Source organism: Homo sapiens, chromosome 14 (assembly GCF_000001405.40).
Source record: "Homo sapiens chromosome 14, GRCh38.p14 Primary Assembly".
Lineage (NCBI taxonomy): Eukaryota > Metazoa > Chordata > Mammalia > Primates > Hominidae > Homo > Homo sapiens.
Window position 1 is genome coordinate 91,309,165 of NC_000014.9, and position 20,469 is coordinate 91,329,633.

The window sequence follows — 20,469 nt, forward strand, 5'->3', positions numbered from 1 at the left end:
GTTTTCATCACTGAGCCGGGATCACACCACTGCACTCCTGCCTGGATGACAGAGTGACACTTCGTCTCAAAACAACAACAAAACCCATTATCATTTAAGCAAGCATTGCAGGGAAAAACTGTAATAGTCTAATTTTTTAAAAAAATTAAGAAGCGTGGCTGGGAGCAGTGGCTCACACCTGTAATCCCAGCATTTTGGGAGGCTGAGGTGGGCAGATCGCTTTGAGCTCAGGAGTTCAAGACCAGCCTGGCTAATATGGCGAAACCCCCTCTATACAAAACATACAAGGATTAGCCAGGTGTGGCGGTGCATGCCTGTGGTCCCAGCTAGGTAGTGGTCTCCAGCTAGGGCTGGAGGATCGCTTGAACCCGGGAGGTGGACATGGAGGTAAGCCGAAATCATAATACTACACTCCAGCCTGGACAACAGAGCCAGACCCTGTCTCAAAAAAAAAAAAAAAAAAATTAAGAAGCTTTTTCATCAGACAAAATCTCCTTCCACACCTATCTGAGAACCTCAAGGAACAAGAGCTGGAACAGAAACGACCAAGGAACTTTGGGTTCAAGGAACCGCGTGAGGTCACAGCCCTCGGCAGTAGAGAGTTCATGGAGGTCTCAGGGGAGGGTGAGGAGCCTGCAGACTGAACAGTGGAGGAAGTGCTCCCACGATGGGGAGAGGGAGAAGAGGCCCTCACGTGTCACTGCCGCTGTCGTCCTCCTGCAACAGCAGCTCCCTGTTGAGGCCGACCTTCTCCAGTTCCTGGCTCAGCTTGTCCAGCTCACTGCTGAGCTGCTGGCTCTTCAGCTTCTCGAGCACCAGGTCCTGGAATGATGGGGAGAGAGCACTGGATAGGAGCTCAGCAAAACACGCAGGAAGGCCAGGCGCCAGTCCCGCCCGGGTGTGAGCAACTGTCCTCCCGGGCCACGGCTGCCTCCGTGTGGAGCGAGGGGACTCTGAACCCCAGGGATGCTCTTCCCGAGGAAAGCCAATGAATGCACTTGTCCAGCCCTCCTGGTGCTGAAAACAACCAGACCAGGTGGCTACATGTCAGGATGGATCTAATATGCCACTTCTCTAAGTCATGTATTTGAAATGCCACTTATGTTGACCTTTAAGTAGTATGTTTGATTTCTGATAATATGGCTGACTTTTCAACAAAGCAACAAGTAATTAAAGGCCCCTTGTAGACACTTTGAAACAGAAAATGTGTAAAGAGGGGAAATATTTTATTTTAAACCCTGGATCTGGTTTACTTTTCATTTTTTAGAGACAGCGTCTTGCTTGGTTGCCTAGGCTGAAGTGCAGTGGTGTGATCACAGCTCACTGCAGCCTTGAACTCCTGGCTCAGGTGATCCTCCACCTCAGCCTCCTCAGTAGCTGGAATTACAGGTGTGCACCAGCACACCTGGCTAATTTTTAAATTTTTTGTAGAGATGGGGTCTTGCTATATTTCCAGGTTGGTCTTGAACTCCTGGCCTCAAGCAATCTTTCTACCTTGGTCTTCCAAAGTGCTGGGATTACAGGCGCGAGCCACTGCACCCGGCCTTGGTCTACTTTTCAAAACATGGGTGTTGAATGCATGTCGGTGGTTCACTTCCTCCACCCCAGTTTACGTCAGCACCTCTTTGTAGCTCTCTAGATAGTGACCGTTTTCTGCCTGGTGTCACAGTCATTCGCATGCACGCTTAACCCTCCTACCAAATCCTCAGACCTGAACGGCACTGTGACAGAGACAGTGATGCTCATTACCTGCTCCCCCAAATTTCCCAGCCACCCTGTATCAGCTGAAGCCAGGTCACCAGCTCTGGCAAAGGGGATGAAGTGGGAGTGATGTGGGTGACTCCCTGACTGGAGCACAGAAGAGCCTATGTGTGACATTCAGCTGCCCTTTCACCTGCCATGGCAACCGCCCAAGCCTGGTGTAGAGACCGTGGAGCCACGAGATCAAAACAGCCTGGACTGCTGGGTCAAGCAGAGGACAGACTCCCTGAAGGGTCCCCTGGACTCTGGTGAGCAAGAAGTAAGCCTTGGCTGTGATGAGCAGCAGAGATGCTGGGGTTGGCTATCGTAGCACAGCCTAACTAACCTACGCTAACGAGCCGGGGCTCTGCCTGCATTCATATTTTGGATCTCTCCCCCACAGCACATGGAATTGCCTGCATGGATCGTCAGTCATCTCTTTCCAGTGTGGAGACTGCTCAGTGTTCACCAAACCCATTTCCTTCTCTTGTGTGGCATGTGGCACCCTGTGGTTGGGTGTGGCTGTGCTGCTGAGCCCCACCCATGCAGCATGATCTTCCTCACTCTCTCTCTTCCTCCTCTACCCACCACAGGCCGAGGAACCAGAAGAGGACTCCACTAGGGGTGCCCAAGCCTCAAGATGGCAGAAGCCAGGTGCCTGAACTGGGCCTTAAGTGCAGTGACTCCAGCGCCTGGCTTCTCCCATGTGGGCAGGGTCCCCACACTAGACCCTTCACGAGTGAGATAAACGGTGCTGGGCCACTCAGCTGCTGAAGCCATTTCCCAGAGCAGCCATCTACTCACCCCAGCATACTAAACAAATGCCCAGGTGGCCCACACAACACTTACCAGGGTAAGGACAACATGGAATTCTGGAGGATTTTATATCCCTCAAGAGACTAACACGTTCACACTCTTTGACCCTGTAATTCCATTTCTGAGAATATACCCTAAAAAATAGTTTGATTCATGAAGGTCTATGTATACAAGGATGTCTAGTATTATTTAAAATAGTGGAAAAGAGGATTCTAGGAAAAAAGGTAATAAAATTTTAAAAATAAATTTAAAAAAAACTTCAGGAAAGGATTCTAGGAAAAAAGTAATAAAATTTAAAAAATAATAAAAATAAAATAGTGGAAAACACTAAAACAATCTAAACATCTAAAAAATAATTACAGTAAACCTATAGGATTAAATATCTTGGCCAGGTGCAGTGGCCCACACCTGTAATCCCAGCACTTTGGGAGCCTGAGGCAGATGGATCCCCTGAGGTCAAGAGTTCAAGACCAGCCTGGCCAAGATGGCGAAACCCCACCTCTACTAAAAATACAAAAATTAGCGAGGCGTGATGGTGCGTGTCTGTAATCCCAATACTTAGGAGGCTGAGGCAGGAGAATCGCTTGAACCCAGGAGGTGGAGCCTGCAGTGAGCTGGGGTCACACCACTGCACTCCAGCCTGGGTGACAAAGCAAGATTCTGTCTCAAAAATAAGTAAGGGTCGGGCGCGGTGGCTCATGCCTGTAATCCCAGCACTTTGGGAGGCCGAGGCGGGTGGGTCACCTGAGGTCAGGCGTTCGAGACCAGCCTGGCCAACATGGTGAAAACCCGTCTCTACTAAAAATACAAAAAGATTAGCCAGGTGTGGTAGTGTGCATCTGTAGGCCCAGCTATGTGGGATGCTGAGGCACAAGAATCGCTTGAATCTGGGAGGCAGAGGTTGCAGTGAGCCGAGATCACGCAACAACACTCCAGCCTGGACGACAGTGAGACTCCGTCTCAAAAATAAATAAATAAATACATAAACAAACAAACAAATATCTTACGGCCATTGGGAAATTGTGGCTTTGAAATCTAAAATAACAAAAACCACAACATAATTAATAAAAACCACAACAGCTCACCTGTGTGTAAGTATGACATCAAGCATGTGTCTGTACACACGAGGGAAAATGATGAAACGAAACAACTCAAACTATGAGAAGCGTTATCTCTGGGTTGTAAGATTGTAATACGTGGTATTCACTGGGTTCTTAGACCTTTAGGTATTGCTGTTTAGAATTAGATAAAGCATTTAAGGAGGACACAGAGTCTTATTTCTCTCCTGAAACCATGCACCACAGAACCCACTACCACCATCTGCCAATCCCCTTACAGGCGCCGCCTGTGTTTGCTCACCTCCCTCAGAGTTGTCAGTGTCCTTGCATGCACGGTGACTTGCTTGGTGAGGTCCCGGTTGTCCTTCTCCAGCTCCTTCAGCTTGCCGGCTGCGTCCCTGCAGCGGGCCAGCTCCTTGTCCAGCGCGCGGCTCTCCTTCTCAACGGCGGACAGTTTGGCAGTGCTATCGTCCAAGACTGCATCCTTGAGCTCCACCTGCTGCCACAGCCGCTTGGCCTCCTTCTCCAGCAGCTTCTTATCCTTCTCGAGCTGGGCCACCTCCTGCTCCAGGGCCTTCCTGTCCTTCTCGGCCCCCTCCAACTGTGCATTGGCCAGCCGGAGGGCCTCCAGGTCCCGCCGCAGCGCCTGGCGCTCAGCCTCCAGCTCGCCCAGCTCACTCTCCAAGGTCTGCGTCTTGTGGCTGCTGCTCTCCAGGCTCTGCTGCAGCCGGAGGTTCTCAGCGCTCACGCTCTGGTAGCTGAGCTCCAGGCGCTCTGACTTCTTGCCCAGCGCCTTGAGCAGATCCACGTTCTTCCTCAGCTCCTCCTTCTCACGCTCCAGCTGCTGGTTCTCCCTCTCCATCTGTGCCAGCTTGGTGCTGGTGAAGCGCATGGTCTCCACCAGCCTGCGCAGCTCCAGGTTCTCTGCGTCCAGCTGCTTGTTGTCACGCTCCAGGCCCTCAAGCTGCAGGGACACGTTCTGCAAGGTGTCCAGAGACTTCCTCAGAGTCCGGTTCTCCAGCTGCAGGCCCTGGCTCTCATGCTCCAGGGCCTCGACTTTCTCGGTGGCTGTCTCCAGGGAGGTCACCTTCCTGGCCAGCCTCCCGTTCTCCTCCTGGAGTCGCTGTAGCTCCCTCTCCAGCTTCTCTGCCCGCTCCCCCTTCTCCTTGGCCTGCTCCAAGTCCCTGTGCAGCTGCCGCTTCTCAAACTCCAACTGGCTGAGCTTGCCATTGGCCTCCGTCACCGTCTGGTGGAGGGCTTTGTTCTCCTTCTCCACGTCTTTCATGCGGGCCTCACTGCTGACCTGCGACCTCTCCCGCAGCGACCACATGGCTCGGTTGAGGTGGTCCTTTTCCTGCTCAAGGTCCTTGATCTACGGGAAAACACAACAGGCACAACCCAGGCTGCTGCAGGAACCTATTTCAGTGACATGGGCTCACACTGGGGATGGGAGAGAGAAGGCCTTGAACGGCTGTCCTACCTGTGCTCAGACACTGCCTGTGCGTTCCCCAGAGGCTTGACAGACACAGGTGAGTGGGCACAGACACCACCACTTAGATGGTTCAAGTCAGAATACACTCAGAGCAGCCAGGATGATTTTAAAATGTAAATACATCTCTCTCCCTCACTTAAGTTTCAGCGGTTTCTCTTGGTCTCTGGTAGCCGGGCCCTGCCCACCTCTGCAGCCTCTGCTTACACTACTCTCCACCTCCTGCTCACTGCTCCTAGCCCAGCTGACTGTGAACACTTTGCACATGCTGATCCCTCTGCCTGGAGTACTTTCCTCTGGCTATCAGCCTCACTGGCTCTTTCTTATACTTGGGGTCAGTTCCCCAAAACATCCTGGCATGATGATTCTAAGGTAGCCGTGTATCCCAGTATTCTCTCCCTCAGCACCCTATTCTCTCAGTAGCACCCTCCTGAGATCATCTTGCCTGTCACCTGGAAGTGTGCCTTCCTGGCTGTGAGCAACATCTGGGCAGGGCCCTGTCCGTCTGTTTACCATGCACCATTCTAACCATCTTCTCTGGGCTTTTTATTCCTCTACTACAGATGCCAAAAAGCTAAAATACTTGGGGCCAGTGATGGTGGCTCATGCCTGTAATCCCAACACTTTGGGAAGCTAAGACGGGAGGATCACTTGAGCCCAGGAGTTCGAGACCGGCCTGGGCAACACTGTGAGATCCCATCTCTATTAAACAAAAGAAAACATAAACAAAAACAAAAAACTAAAATACTTGGTGCCCTGGCATTCTTTGCAGGCAGAGGTAGCCACACGTTAGTTCTGGCCAACGTGACGTCTACGGAGCATCCTTGGGAGGGTTTCCCTGTGATGCTAAGCCCTCCACCTTTCTCCTGCTTGTACCTTAGGGATGTGCAGCAGCCACTGCTAAGGCTGGCAGAGCTGTAGGCAAGAGGCCTGGTTCCTGATGGCATCCCTGAGCCACTACATCAGCCCTGGACTGCCCGCCGTGTGAGGCAAATAAAACCACACGGATTTGCCAGGGTTCTCAGCTGGGGCACTAAGAACATTTGCAGATGGAGTGTTCCTGACCTGCGCACTGCAGAATATGTAGCAGCATCCTTGGCCTCCACCCACTCCATGCCAGGAGCACCACCCCCTCTCTTCCCCGGGGTCACGACAATCAAAAATGTCTTGAGACATTGCCAAATGTCCCTTGGGAGGCAAAATTCACCCCACCTTTTCCCACCGCCAGTTGGGAAATTGAGAATTGCTGATTTAAGCTGTGGCTAAGCTAGGTAACGGATAATCCATGCATCCACAATACAGTACCAGGAATGGCTGTAATCCCGGCTCTCCGTCTTGCAGGCAGGGGTTCTAGGAGAGGCGTTAGTGGTGGAGGCACCTACCTGCCTGGCTTTGTCAGCCTTCAGGGTCTCCATGTCACTCTGCAGCTGCTCCTTCTCTCTGATCAGCTCCTCACTGAGGGTCTCCAGATCTTGGTTGCTCTGCTTTTCTCTCTCCAGCTGGGTTTGTAACTTTTCAATCTGCAGAACCAAAAGACCCAGCCCAGTGCAGACATCAGTCCTACGAAGTGAACCATGATTTAAAACAAAACAGAAACCACCCCAACAGAATGCACTGATGGGTCTTTTCTCAAGGGAAGACCTCCTGACATCATTCTGTAGCAACTCCCCACACCACAGCTGTCACTCTTAAGACAGAAAGTCACCAGGAAGCAAACCATCACCATCCCCCCAGCGTCCCTCTGCCCCATCCTTGCTGCCATGTGCTCCACCGCCTGAGGCCGCCACCGCTGGGTGCCCTCGGGGGTTTCACACGCACCCAGCTTCCTGTCCTCCTGGAGACTTCCTGCCTCAGTTGGTGATGTCACCTGGCTGCTCAAGTGGCCCTCTGTTATATCTCTTCCTCTTTCACCTCCATGGAAATGTGTCACCAAGCCCTGTCCTTCTTACCCCTTCCACACTTCCACCATCTCCCTCACAGGCCAGGCCACATTTTGTCTGGCCTGGACAGCCACCCAGTGATCTCCTTGACATCAAGGTCTTATGCCAGAACCCACCTGTTCGCAGCCCTCCTAAACATGAACTACCTAAACAGAGGTCCTTATGCTCCCCGTTGCACACGAGTGCCCGCCTTGCTGAAATGCAGATTCTGACTCAACCTTTTTTTTTTTTTGAGATGGAGTTTTGCTCTTGTCGCCCAGGATGGAGTACAATGGCATGATCTTGGCTCACTGCAACCTCCGCCTCCCAGATTCAAGCAATTTTCCTGCCTCAGCCTCCTGAGTAACTAGGACTACAGAAGCCTGCCACCACGCCCATCTAATTTTTGTATTTTTAGTAGAGACGGGATTTCACTGTGTTGGCCAGGCTGGTCTCACAGGTGATCCGCCTGCCTCGGTCTCCCAAAGTGCTGGGGTTAACAGGCATGAGCCACTGTGCCCGGCCAACCCTTGCATTTCTGATTGCTGTTGCTTCTGGTCTAAAGGTGTGATTTCCTGGGTCCTACCTACCCCTGATGGACCCCTCATCTTTCTCATTCTGTGGTTCTTTGTCCTATACTCCGGTCCATCCCCGAAGAAGACCTGTGCACCTGATGAACCTGCTGGGCTAAGGTATGGGATGGCTGCAGACTTTCTGGCCCCCAGAGGGTTTCCTGTCCTCCCTGCAGCCACTGGCATGGGCAACAGTCTCATGTGGTGCAGCATTAGGTTTTCCTGGGAGTTGTGGGTGCCAGGACCCTGCCCCTCAGCCCCCAGGCTGCATGTCTTCACATGAGCTGCTCCTGCCTCTCATGACAGGCCCCCAAAGGGCTGCCCCTCTTCCTCTAAAAATAAGGATTCTTTTTCCTTCCTGACTCAAAGAATGAACTCTTATGACTTCAATACAAAGCTACAGACACAGAGGAGGGAGGGGGCTTCTCTAGGACCCATGGAGGTGCCTTGAGTTAGAGAGAAAGATGTTTTAACTTCAGGGAACTATGGTTTCCAGAGGTCCCAGACCAAAGCAAGCGTGCAGCCTGGGCTACATTCGGGGTGAGATGAAGAGCCAGGTTGGCACTAGGGGCCCCCTGTGGGACTCAGCAGGGCCAACGGGCTTGCTTACTGACTAGGAAATGCCAGCTGGATGGCTGAGGTTGGAGAGGGAAATTCAGGATGAGCTGAGCTGGCTGAGGGTTGCCAGGCCTGAAGCACAGCCTGCCTCCTGCTGGTGCTGAAGGGTTCACCTGTCAAATGCTGGCGAGCACCCTCTACGTGTCAGACTCTGGGCTGGGCACTGGGGCCAATAAAACAGTCAGTGAGACATGGACAGAGAGTGAAGGGAGAACCACCCTGCAGGGTCGGGCCAGATTCCAGCCAGGCTCAGGGCAGGCCAAGGACGAGAGGGAGGAGAGAGCTCCAGGCTTCAGACACAGGACAGCCCTGCCTGCAAACAGCGGCCCCTCCCTTCCGGCGCCCCCACGACCAGAGAGTGTGTGCCAAGACAGGGCCTCCCGAGGGCCACGGCAGGAGAGGCTGGCGTCGGGCCAGGGAGGAAGTGGGTAGGGCCTGAGAGATCAGCATAAGGAGTTGTGGTGGGTGGGCGACGCCCCCGCCAGGTCCTGTTTGTACAGAGGAGGGGCCACAGCAGACAGGACAGGGCAGAGAGATGCCTGGGCACCACCCTGGTGACCTGCCAGAAGGGGCCCCAAAATATCACTAGGCCAGAGAGATAATACTGCAGGCTTTCTGGGGCAGCGTCGTGAGGACCTGCAGAGCTGGAGGTTCTCATCTTCCTAAAGGGCAATTATTTTTATCATGGCCAAGGTTGGGCTGCCACTTATGAAGACATTTCCCGTGCTAGGCCCACATGAATCTAAGAAACCAAAACACTGAGTCAGCCACAGTGGCTCACACCTGTGCTCCTAGCACTTTGGGAGGCTGAGACCGAAGGACTGCTTGAGCCCAGGGGTTTGAGACCAGCCTGGGCAACATAAAGAGACCCCAGTTCCAAAAAAAAAAAATTAGCTGGGCGTGGTGGTACGTGCCTGTGGTCCCAGCTATTCGGGAGGCTGATGTGGGAGGATTACTTGAGCTCTGGAGGTCAAATCTGCAGTGAGCCATGGTCACACTACCGCACTCCTGCCTGGATGACAGAGCAAGACCCTGTCTCAAAAAACCGAGTCACTTTCCCCATGCTGCCCTGCACCAGAAGATGTGGCATGAGACGGGGGTGTCTTCTGTTGTCCTACAAAGAGAGGAAAAACCACCTGGCAGCTCAAACGCTGCAAGGCACACAAAGTTCAAAGGGACAAGAGTGAGGAGCCTCGTAGAAGTCCCATGAGGGAACTCAAGGGACCAGTTCCCAGGAGTGGGGGACCTGTTCCCAGCCTCAGAGATCATGAACCTGCAGAGTGGCTGGGTGCAGTGGCTCACATTGGGACGCTGAGGTGGGCAGATCACCTGAAGTCAGGAGACCAGCCTGGCCAACATGGCGAAACCTCATCTCCACTAAAAACACAAAAATTAGCTGGGCATGGTGGCACATGCCTGTAATCCCAGCTACTTGGGAGGCCGAGACAGGAGCATCGCTTGAACCCAGGAGATGGAGATAGCAAGGAAGCTGAGATTGCACCACTGCACTCCAGCCTGGACAACAGAGCGAGACTCCGTCCAAAAAAAAAAAAAAAAAAAAAGAACCTGCAGAGCCAAGGGACCCAGGTGTCCTGCCACAGTCATGCCTCAGTAAATGACACTGCCAGGACTCACAGCTGGATGGCTGAGGTTGGAGAGGGAAATTCAGGATGAGCTGAGCTGGCTGAGGGTTGCCCATCCTGCATGGCAGTCAGCCCGCAAGAACACTCTGGCCTCCTCCCTCGACTGGAATCTGACAGCTGGTGCATTCAGAGCCCACAGTACACCAGTGCCTCCACAGTGTGAGGCAGGTGGATGAGAGGTCCTCTGACCTGGAATGAGCAAGACCTGTCGGCAATCCCTAGTCTCTCATTGGCCCCTTCCTGCACCTGAGAAGGAATCTGCCATGTGACAGGGATCCTCTTAACTGTAGAACAAGACTGGCTTGCAAACTCTCATCTGTTCACCCAGGTGTCTGGCTTCTACTCTGCTCCCAGGAAGACCTAACAGCTGTCATTAAAACAGAACACAGTTCAGCTATCTCTTCTTCCCCATCCCATAAACCCAGGGGAGGGAGAAAGCACTGACCTGCTTGTTTTACCACAGCAAGACCCTAAGGTGTTCCGTCAGTGGCCTCACACATACAGACCTAGGCTTTGCAGCCCCAAAGATGTTCATTATCACTTTAGTCAACAACTCAACGTCTGGTATTCGGTACCTTACTGGTTCTTCTCCCTGGGTCCCTATTGCATGCTTTATAACAGTGCCCTGCTCTCTTTTTATTGAGTGCTTACTATGTGCCGAATCCGTCACACACACTACCACCTCTAATCCCCACAACAGCCAGCATAAGAAATGTGTGTCTGGGGCCGGGCATGGTGGCTCATGCTGGTAATCCCAGCATTTTGGGAGGCCGAGGCGGGTGGGCCACCTGAGGTCGGGAGTTTGAGACCAGCCTGGCCAACATGGCAAAACCCCGTCTCTACTAAAAATACAAAACTAGCTGGGTGTGGTGGTGGGTGCCTGTAATCCCAGCTACTCGGGAGGCTGAGGCAGGAGAATCACTTGAACCTGGGAGGTGGAGTTGCAATGAGCTGAGATTGTGCCATTGCACTCCAGCCTGGGCAACAAGAACAAAACTCAGTCTCAAAAAAAAAAAAAAAAAAAAAAAAAAAAGAAATGTGTGTTTGGTTGTTGCTAAATTTCCTGGCACAAGTTTCGAAAACCCTTGGAATCTCCAAAGGGATAGGTGTCTTTCTTGTATGCTAAGATGAATGAGGACTGGGGGCTCCTGGAGAGCCTCAGGATGGGAGCTGGTTGCCAAGGGAACCAACCATGTTATTAGAGAGATGAAACTTTCAGGCCTCCCCTACCTCCAGGGAGGAGACAGGGCCTGGAGGTTGAGCTAATCAAATGGCAAATGATGTAATCAATCATGCCTATATAATGAAACCTCCATAAAAACCCAAAAGGACTTGGTCAAAAAGTGTCCAGGTTGGTGAACATGTGGAGGTGCTGGAGGGGCACCCGCAGAGGACAGGGTAGCGTGGCACCACTCCCCGCACCCACCGCCCTGTGCATCTGTTCTGCCTGTGCGTTGTATACTTTGTAATAAACAAGGAATACTAAGCCATCTAGGCAATAGCGGAGCCCACGAAGGGGGTGGTGGGAACCTCTGATCTGCAGCCAGCCGATCAGAAGCACAGGTGACAATCCGGACTTGGATTGGCACCTGAAGTGGGAGGCAGTCTGGTGGGACTGAGCCCTTAGGCTGCAGGGTCTGTAGTGTCAGAATTGAGTTAAATTGTAGGATACCCAGCTGGTGTCCCCCAAGAACTTGAGAACTGCTTGATATGGGGAAAACCCCACACCCCTGGTATAAGCAGTGAGGTACTGGGAGCAGTGGCGTGGAAGAGAACGAGGGAGTTTTCTTTTTACAGGCAGGCACCCCATCAACCCCATTTCACAAATGAAGACAATGAGGCACAAGAAAGTCACATGTCCGGGTCATCCTCTAATGGCAGCGAAGCAGGGACAGGGCCACGCCTCCTCTGGCTCTCCCCAGTCCTCACTCCCATTCCTATTATAATCAGCGGTGACTGCGCCTGGATTCTGTCCACTGCCTGACACCTGCATGCTCTACCTGGCCCCCTCCTTGTCTGTGCTCCAGACAATCACTGGGGAGGATGGGAGGGTGCCCAAGGGTTCTGTGCTTCCCCGGTGGCCTAAGGAGGCCGAGGTACCTTCTTGCTGAGCTGGTGGTTCTCCTTCTCCAGCTCCCCGCACTTGAGGCCGCTCTCCTCCAACACCAGGGACGCGTCCCGCAGCCCCTGGATGGTGCTCTGGAGGCTCTGATTCTCCTTCTCCAGCTTCAGGATGCGGCTGGACGCACATTCGTTCAGCTCAAACACAAACGACTTCCTGGAGGCTGAAGACAAAGTCCAGTCAGAGCCCAGTGGTCTGTGGGCCTCCACTTCCACTCTCTGCCCCAAGCTCCGAGATGGTCATCAGTCCCGGAGTCCAGGGTCTAAGGGGCTGGGGAGGAGCTCCCACAGGTCAGCTGGGGACCCTTCCTCCTGCCCCTCCACTCCCAGTGCCCGAGGGCTCCTCTGCAGGCTTTGCTGGGGTCTGTCAGGGCAGCAATCCAGGGCTCAAGAAGGCGGCAGGTTACAGTCCAGGAGCCAATGCAAGGGCTGTGTCACTTCTGGGAACCATCTGGCTATCAGGCTGCTATCCTAACTGTCCAATCAAGGATTTTAGAGGCTAACAGAGATGACACACAGGTGACATTTTCCATACCCCCCAGAGCATAATGGACATCTCGGCTGCTCAGCAGGCAGGGGCACGTAACTGACCACTCCCGTTGGCCATGGGTGGTAGAAAGCTACACTGGAACATGTGTCGGGCACTTGTCAGCCTGGATGAGATGCTATGCAGAGATTTCTTTCTGTGACTTCACAATTATGTTGAAGAAAACTGTGATAGTGTATGCAAATTACTTTTAAAATTCTAAATGAGATGAAAAATAAGCTAAAAATAGTAAAAGGCAGACTATCTACTCTGCTTTTAAACAGCTCAGGTGCAAATGGAGAAGGGAAGAGTCTTGAGTCAGGAATGGGAGTTCCTGGCCCCCTCCTGCCACAAGCAGGTGCATGATTTTAGGTAAGTCATGGGGTTGTTTTGGGGAGGGGAAAAAAAAAGGTATGCAAAAGCCCTCTTAAGAAAGGAGCCCGGTTCTTCCCCCCTTCATTTACCCAACCCAGTGCCACGTCCTCATCTCTTGGGGCCTTTCCACACTGTTGCTAATACAGCGATTCCTCCCCCTACCTCTTCACCCCAGGGGCTGTGGGTACAGGGGGGTGATGGCTTTCACAGCAAACACATAAATCTGGAAATGTGTGTGGTTCAGATTCCCCGGGTGATCATAAAGACTGAACAGCATCTCGTTTCCCTCTGAGTCTTCATCCTCTACCAAGGATAACGACATGGACCACCCAACAGGCCAGAACGCCCTAAAGACCCAAACCAACAGCAGGCGAGAAGTGGAGGGGATGGTGTGTACCTGGCCCCAGCCCAGCACTGACACACACATAAACACACACACACTCCACATACAAGGACGCTTGGAGGGCTCCATCCCAAATAAGCTGTAAATGAAACTAACCTAACTTCAACACCAAGCCTCAAATAAGACTCCATTATTTCAAAACCTGTGGTCATCTGGACAGTGTCTCTGCAGAATTCATGGGGGTGAACCCATTTTTAAAATTACAGAAAAATATATTTAAAAAGTACCATTTTAGCCATTTTAAAGTGTTTGGATCTGTGGCATTAGGTACAAGCACACTTTTCTGCAACCATCACCACCATCCCTTTTCACCTTCCCAAACTGACCACAGAGATTAATTTTTAAGGTTCTGTGAGTTAAACAATGGAATCGATGTTTCATTTCCTCTTCCATTAAAGTCAGTGCCTTGAAGACTATTAAAACGACACAATGGTTTACTACTAAAACGCCAGTGTTTCTCTTTTTTTTTTTTTTTTTTTGAGACAGAATCTCACTCTCTCACCCAGGCTGGAGTGCAGTGGTGTGATCTTGGCTCGCTGCAACCTCCACCTCTCAGGTTCAAGCGATTCTCCGGCCTCAGCCTCCTGAGTAGCTGGGATTACAGGTGTGCACCACCACGCCTGACTAATTTTTGTACTTTTAGTAGAGGCGGGGTTTCTCCATGTTGGCCAGGCTGGTCTTGAACTCCTGACCTCAAGTGATCTGCCCGCCTTAATCTCCCAAAGTGCTGGGAATACAGGCATGAGCCACTTTGCCCGGCCCAGTGTTTCTTTACTAGTGCAAATCTCGTCAGCACCCCCCAGCAACCAGAGTAACTGGGTATGTCTTAGTAAGACAGACAAGAAGAGCTGCCCTCTACAGAACACACCAAGGGCCAGAGCCGGGGTTCCTGCTTCACTGTTTTCTCTCACTCATCCTCACAGTCATCTTGTGAGGCAGGTTCATTACCCCTATTTTGCAGGTAAGGAAACTAAAGTTTTAAGAGGTTAAGTACTTGCCCTAGGTCACCCAGCTAACCAGCAGAGAAGCCAAGGCTTTATGCCAGGTCTTTCTGGCTCTCGAAGCCACTGCCCCATACACTCAGGCTTTGCTTGCACGATGCCATCATTCTAGCAAACACTAGAATGATGCCAGCTCCTAGCTAGGCACTAGGAGTTGACAACACTAAGAATAAATCACGGTATTAACTTTAAAGAGCTCACACATTATAGAAAATGGTCTAAATCGGTGAGGCCTTCTCACCAGCCACCATGGTCTCTAACAAATATTTAGTTGATGAGAGACCATCCTAGCTGCTTGTACCACCTCTCTGCTCCACCAGGGGGCGCCCCCAACTTGGACTTCCAGAGGCAAGGGATTTGGGGGAACCCCCTTGTGCAGCCCTCAGGCCCCAGAACTACGCACAGATATCAAAGCACAGACAGCTAACTTCTCACACAGATTCACAGTGAAACTGGTTTTAGGTTCGGAACTGATAGGAACCCCCAAATGCAAGAAATATTCACCTGTTTCCAATAACCTTTCCAGAATGCTTAGATGTCTATCAGAATTTTTTAAAGCCACCCACTAAACAAGCCAAAAGCCCCATCACACCCTGGAAAGTCTAAGTAACTATGAACTTGCACGATCACGTGCACGGGAACGGTGAGCGTGTGCTATTTTCAAACACAGGAACTGGCTCATTGTTTGCCGGGGCTGAGGCTTCCTGCGCAGGGGGCTGAGTGCGGCCCCGCCCACGCTTCCCATGACCGACACCTCCTCTCGGGGCGCGGGGCAGTGGGCAGCAGAGCAAGCCCAGGAGGGAAGAGGGAAAGGGAGAGGCCTGGCAGAGGCGCTAAGAACCTGGGTCTCCGGGGCAGCAGCCACTCAGCACCCTCCCCACCCAGGAGAGAGAAAACAGGCTGCCTCCATCTTGCCCAATTATGCAAATGAATGGAGGAAATGACGCCCTGGGTACATTTATAGCAGGGATTCGTGGCCACTGGTGATGGCTCCTGCCATCCAGGGCTTTCAGCCATCCACAGATGGCCTCAGAGAGCCTCTGGGTGTCAGTGCACTATAATCTGGAAGCTCCCGGGAATGTCCATATGGGAATTCGGAAAACTGGCAACACTTAATTTGTGTTTTGCGTCCTGACATCAAGGCTGCCAGACCCCTCGTGTCTTCCCTGGGGAGAACTGTAATGAAACAGTTCCAAGTGGAGCTTGAAGGAAATCATGTTTGCCTGGGATGAATGGATGGGCTAACATGGCAGATTCAGAGCCCAGGACTCAGCTCCCTGGAGGCAGCGGCGGCCACGGCCAGGCTGGCTCCCCGGCACCAGGCGCTACCTACCGTCTGACAAGTCTGCGTTCTTGGACAGCTGCTCCAGCTCCCAGCCAAGGTGGGCAGATTCGTTCATGCTCTGCTTCTGTGCAATCTCAAGGACCATGTTTTCTTCCAGCAGCTCCTCAATTCGTTTCTTATCTGTGTCCCGGTCCTGGGGCAAGCAAGAAGAGGCAAGAAGTGAGGCTGCACAGCTGGAGATCCCCCTGGACAAGCCTCAGCCCCTGTATAGCTACCGTCATGTGCTGTGGATGAAGATGTACTGGCTCACTTCCAAATAAACAGAGCTGCACAGAAACATCCCAACACAGGGCCCTGCTATGAGAGGGAAAGCCACTCAAAGGTACCCTGACCTGGCTACCTAGGTTATGAAGACAGACCCGGCCGGGGTCCCTAACTGAATGCTGTCTGAACAAAGTGACATACTGCACAGGGCTTTAAAGCAAGTGTGCAGTGATGGGCAGCTCTGTGGCTCTAGCGAAGCCCTAACAGGCCTCTAAAGCTGTTAACAGGCTAACAAATCACAGCTCACCCCACACCATCAACACTGGCAAAGACCCTTCTTCCAAGACACACACACACACTCATTCCTACAGAAAAGCAATACAGAAGTCAAGTGCTCTGTTTGTGGGTGTTAAGTGGCACCCGCTCAAGCCTGCTGATTTTAGCAAGCTACTCCCCGCAGTCAACAAGTCATTCGTGGTAGCAGTGGCAGCAGCAACGGCAGTAGCAGCAACAAACCCAGTAGCTAAACTATCAGAGAAGGGCACGCCATAAACCTGAACCTGCCCCAATCGGTTTTCTTTTCTTTCTTTCTTTTTTTCTGAGACAAGGTCTTGCTCTATCACCCAGGCTGGAATGCAATGGTGTGATCACGGCTCACTGCAGCCTCAACCTCCCAGGCTCAAGCAACCCTCCTGCCTCAGTCTCTCCCAAGTAGATGGAACTACAGGCTCACACCACCATGCCCAATTATTTAGTTTTCGTAGAGATGGGGCCTCGCTAGGTTGCCAGGGTTAGAACTCCTGCGCTCAAGGGATCCTCCCACCTTAGCCTCCCAAAGTGCTGGGATTACAGGCATGAGCCACTGTGCCCGAGCCCAATCTGTTTTCAATGTAGTAACAACACAGCCTGCAGTACCAATTCCAGGTCGTGAAGCTTGGATTTCAGCTGCAGGTTCTCCTTTTCCAGCTCATGGACTTTATCGCCCCGGGCCCGAGCAGCAGTCAGCTGTTCCTCCAGCATGGCCTTGGTTTCAATTAAAATGATATTATCTTCTCTCAGCTCCTGGTTAGCAAAAACATACATGAGAACCATCAGATAAAGGCACCTGGGTCATTAGGATGGAATTCTAAAACCAAAACTCTTTCAGGCATCTGGACCCAAGCAAACAATCTAGAGGGAAGTCCGAGGCAGGAAGTTTTTCCTCTACTTTTTTTTTTATCATCTTCACCTTTTTTTTGAGACGGAATGTCACTCTGTCGCCCAGGCTGGGGTGCAGTGGCGCGATCTCAGCTCACTGCAACCTCCACCTCCTAGGTTCAGCAATTCTCCTGCCTTAGCCTCCCAAGTAGCTGCAATTACAGGCGCCTGCTATCGCGCCCGGCTAATTTTTGTATCTTTAGTAGAGACGAGGTTTCATCATGTTATCCAGGCTGGTCTCGAATTCCTGACCTCAGGTGATCCACCTGCCTCGGCCTCCTAAAGTTCTGGGATTACGGGCATGAGCCACTGTGCCCAGCCCATCTTCACCCTTTTTAATCGGGCAAGGACAATGGACTTTCTCTGCTATAAGAAAAAAAAATCCATGAATCAAGATAGGCTGGGAATAGTGCCAAGGCTTTGACATGCCTAATCTCATCTGGACGGACAAGGGGACCCTGAGCCCATTTCCTTAACAAGGAAGGAGTGGGGTTGAGAGTCAATCCTGGGTTCCAGGTCTGAGTCTAGTAGACCTCTTAATTCAACATTCATTCTACAGATGTGGGGCCTGGAAAACAGCAGCTATTCAGATAAACTTTCATTCAATACACTGCTCCTATCTGAGTATCTTACAAACACTCTTAGATAACAAAAGTTCTTGGCAGTTTCCTGGAAATGGGGGTCTTTAAGACAGTTAAGTTTCAGCACAGCAAACCACACAAATGTGAGCTCCACAAATGTATACAGCTGAGGGGTGCGCTGGATCTATTTTTGACACAGGCAGTGATGTGCACAAGGGAAGAAGTCAGTCCAGGGCGCACATCTCCACTGTTCCTTTGCTACGGGCTTTCTTGGCTTCTCTTCTCCTGGGCCCTTCCAAGCACCGCTCGGTATCTGGCGGGGAACTGAGCTTCCCCCAAATGCCTTCGCAGGTTACAAACAGCACACGCCAGGAACGTGTACGCTTCTTTCGGTGGGCAGAGCTGTCTGAGGTTTGTCCCACTCACGAATCACACTGGGAACCAGGCTGGGAGTTTCTACTTATCCACCATGTGCTCATCTTCCTATGTGGGCCAGAATCCAAGACTCCTGGTGGAGGGGAAGCCACACACTTTCCGGCCAGCGGACACAGCTTTGATCAAAGCCTGGCAGGCGGTGAGGGGCTTGGCCATTAAGTCTCTGGATTCACCTGCGTGCCCTCCTCTCGCTGCCTGTGCCCAGCAGAGACCACATCTACTATGTGGCTGGCCCTGCCCCAGGCAATCCATGTCCTGCCTTACAGTGGCCCTCAGAGGGAGGCAGGGACAGTCCCTTCCTGCAGATGAAAGACCAATTCAGAAAAAATAAGAAATGAGCTCAAAGCCACGAACCTAGTGAGGTACAAAGCTGGGGCCTGACAGGCCGCAGACCCGGTGCTCTCCTCACTGCCCTCGGCTCCCTGAAGCCCACCCTCGAGGGGCTTGTGTGGGTGAGAGGCCCCTGTTGTACTAATAACACAAGCCAGAGCACAATGACGGGCTTCAAAGCAGAAAGAAGGCCCAGCCTTTTCTCTCTGGCTACTGCCCCCACTCTTTTGACCAGCGTTCCAGCAGGGTCCACCGCCAGCACTCCCCAGCATCACTACCCTCAGGCCCTGAGCAACCACCGCACAGGCTGCCTGCTGCTTCACCCTCACAAGCAACTCCTATTCAGCCTTCAAGACCCAGCTGGAGTTGTCCCCTAGGAGAAGTGCTTGAGAATTCACTGTGTCCCACCCAAGTCAGGCTTCTGGGCTCCTAGTGTTCTGGGTCTGCTCTGAGGCCACAGCAGGCCGGCCTGTTCCTCCCCCAGACCAGGAACCTCAGGCAGGACTGTTGTGCTTTTGCTCTTGTGAGCCTCGCGTAAGTGTTCAATAACACTACTTGGCCAAATCATGCCACAAGGAGGGAGGAATCAAAGGCGGCATGTGAGGTGGACCTTAAAGAACTCAGAGACTTCCCGGAATGAATGGAGATGGCCAGGAGTGGGAGATGGCATGGAACAGAAGATTTCTAACTGCTACTCAAACATGCTGTGGTTTTCTGGCCATTTCAACCTCCACTATACATAAGGTAACAGAAACATCTCGAGTGCCCTGCACACTGCACCACCACCTCTGAAATGAGAAGCCAGATCCAGAAGCTGTGTCCAAGCTCCCGAAGCAAGCCCAGGGCTCCCCCGGGCACCTGGCGAGGAGGAGTGGGAAGCCGGATTCCACACCTCTGGGTAGCTGTCCAAGGCCAGAACGCCCCACCGTGGCCCTGACCACAAGTGACCTAGGAGGCTATTTAAAGGCCCGACCCAGCCCAGCAAACAGCTGAGGGGACCACACTCATGAAGTCACAGCCCAGGACTGAGGGCTAGTTCAGGAGGCTCAAGAGCTCACTTCTAATCTGCCACTGCGACTTGGGGCAGTGATTAGGCACGGGAGCTAACGGGCCCCGATTCCCAGGGCTGCTACATACACTCTCAACCCGGATTCCTCCTTTACACGATGGGCCTAAAGACAGGGTGACGCGGAGCTCGGATGATGCGTGTGAAATACTCCATGCGCAGCGCCTGAGACCTACAAACTCGCCAGCCGCCATCACCACCAACTCACACCGACAGAGCACCCCCAGCACTCCCCACGGAGCACCTATCATGTTAACAGAAAAAACTGGCTTCTAGGGTGCCTCCTGACCCCTGAGGAGCACACAGCACCAGAGGGGGTGCGGAATCAAACAAACAGGCAGTCTTCCGCCAGGGAGCTCTGTAGCAACCACGATGCCGTATGGTTCCCTAAGGGGGCCATAGCAGCAGGAGGCTGGCCCAGGGCATCCTCAGTGGGGAGGGTCTGGGTCAGCTGACTCAGGGCAGGCAGACATCCTACCCACCCAGGAAACATCACCCCCGCTCTGAACCCTACCTGCTCATCCAGCTTCATGGACATCCCTTGAACTTCACCGAAGACCTGCCTGTTTTTAAACTTCACCCACTTTGAGAAGCATGGGGGACTTAAACCTTAAACCAAACGGCAGGTCTGTCCTATTCAACGTCTTAGTGTGCTGAACCTCATCACAACTCCTCAGCAGTTATTAAGGAACAAGGGAGACACAAAGTTCCAGGTGGGAACAGAAGACTTCCCTGTGTTCAGGGTGTCCTTAGTAAGTGCCCTGAATCTTGACATTCCCTGATTAAGTATGATGTGACATGTCAGCCCTAACGTGAGCTGCTGGAGGCTGGGGCCCTTCCTCAGGCCTCCACGGCCTCTGAGACAGTGGCAGCCCCTCACCTCTCCTAGGAGTACCCCTCTTGCAGCACTTCCCACACCCCCTTTATTTCTTCCTTCCTGTGAAGGCTGAAGCTCACGTTCATTCACAGGCAAGCATCAAGTCATTCACAGGCAAGCATCAAGGTCTGGAGGCAGACAGTCATTCCCATC

The 20,469-nt window shown here is 52.4% G+C and overlaps 1 protein-coding gene across 5 annotated transcripts in view, besides 1 other annotated feature; it reads right to left on the minus strand.

The window, feature by feature from the left end:
* Positions 1-20,469, minus strand: part of CCDC88C (coiled-coil domain containing 88C) — a 146,498-nt gene that overhangs the window by 37,842 nt on the left and 88,187 nt on the right. For all 5 annotated transcript variants that reach the window (NR_189158.1, NR_189159.1, NM_001080414.4 and 2 more), the window contains 6 exons: positions 16,746-16,892; positions 15,615-15,759; positions 11,956-12,140; positions 6,486-6,623; positions 3,916-4,986; positions 695-822 (listed from right to left, as the gene is read on the minus strand). Coding sequence is in view for 3 of the 5 variants with exons in the window: in NM_001080414.4 (NP_001073883.2) it covers positions 695-822; positions 3,916-4,986; positions 6,486-6,623; positions 11,956-12,140; positions 15,615-15,759; positions 16,746-16,892 (1,814 nt within the window). In the remaining 2 variants the exon portion in view is untranslated. The remainder of the gene's footprint in view (positions 1-694; positions 823-3,915; positions 4,987-6,485; positions 6,624-11,955; positions 12,141-15,614; positions 15,760-16,745; positions 16,893-20,469) is intronic.
* Positions 6,947-7,336: an enhancer, noted in NCBI's record as "active region_8902". NCBI's record gives its function as "activates an Ori minimal core promoter by ATAC-STARR-seq in GM12878 lymphoblastoid cells {active_cell/tissue: GM12878}" and the evidence as "EXISTENCE:reporter gene assay evidence [ECO:0000049][PMID:35858748]".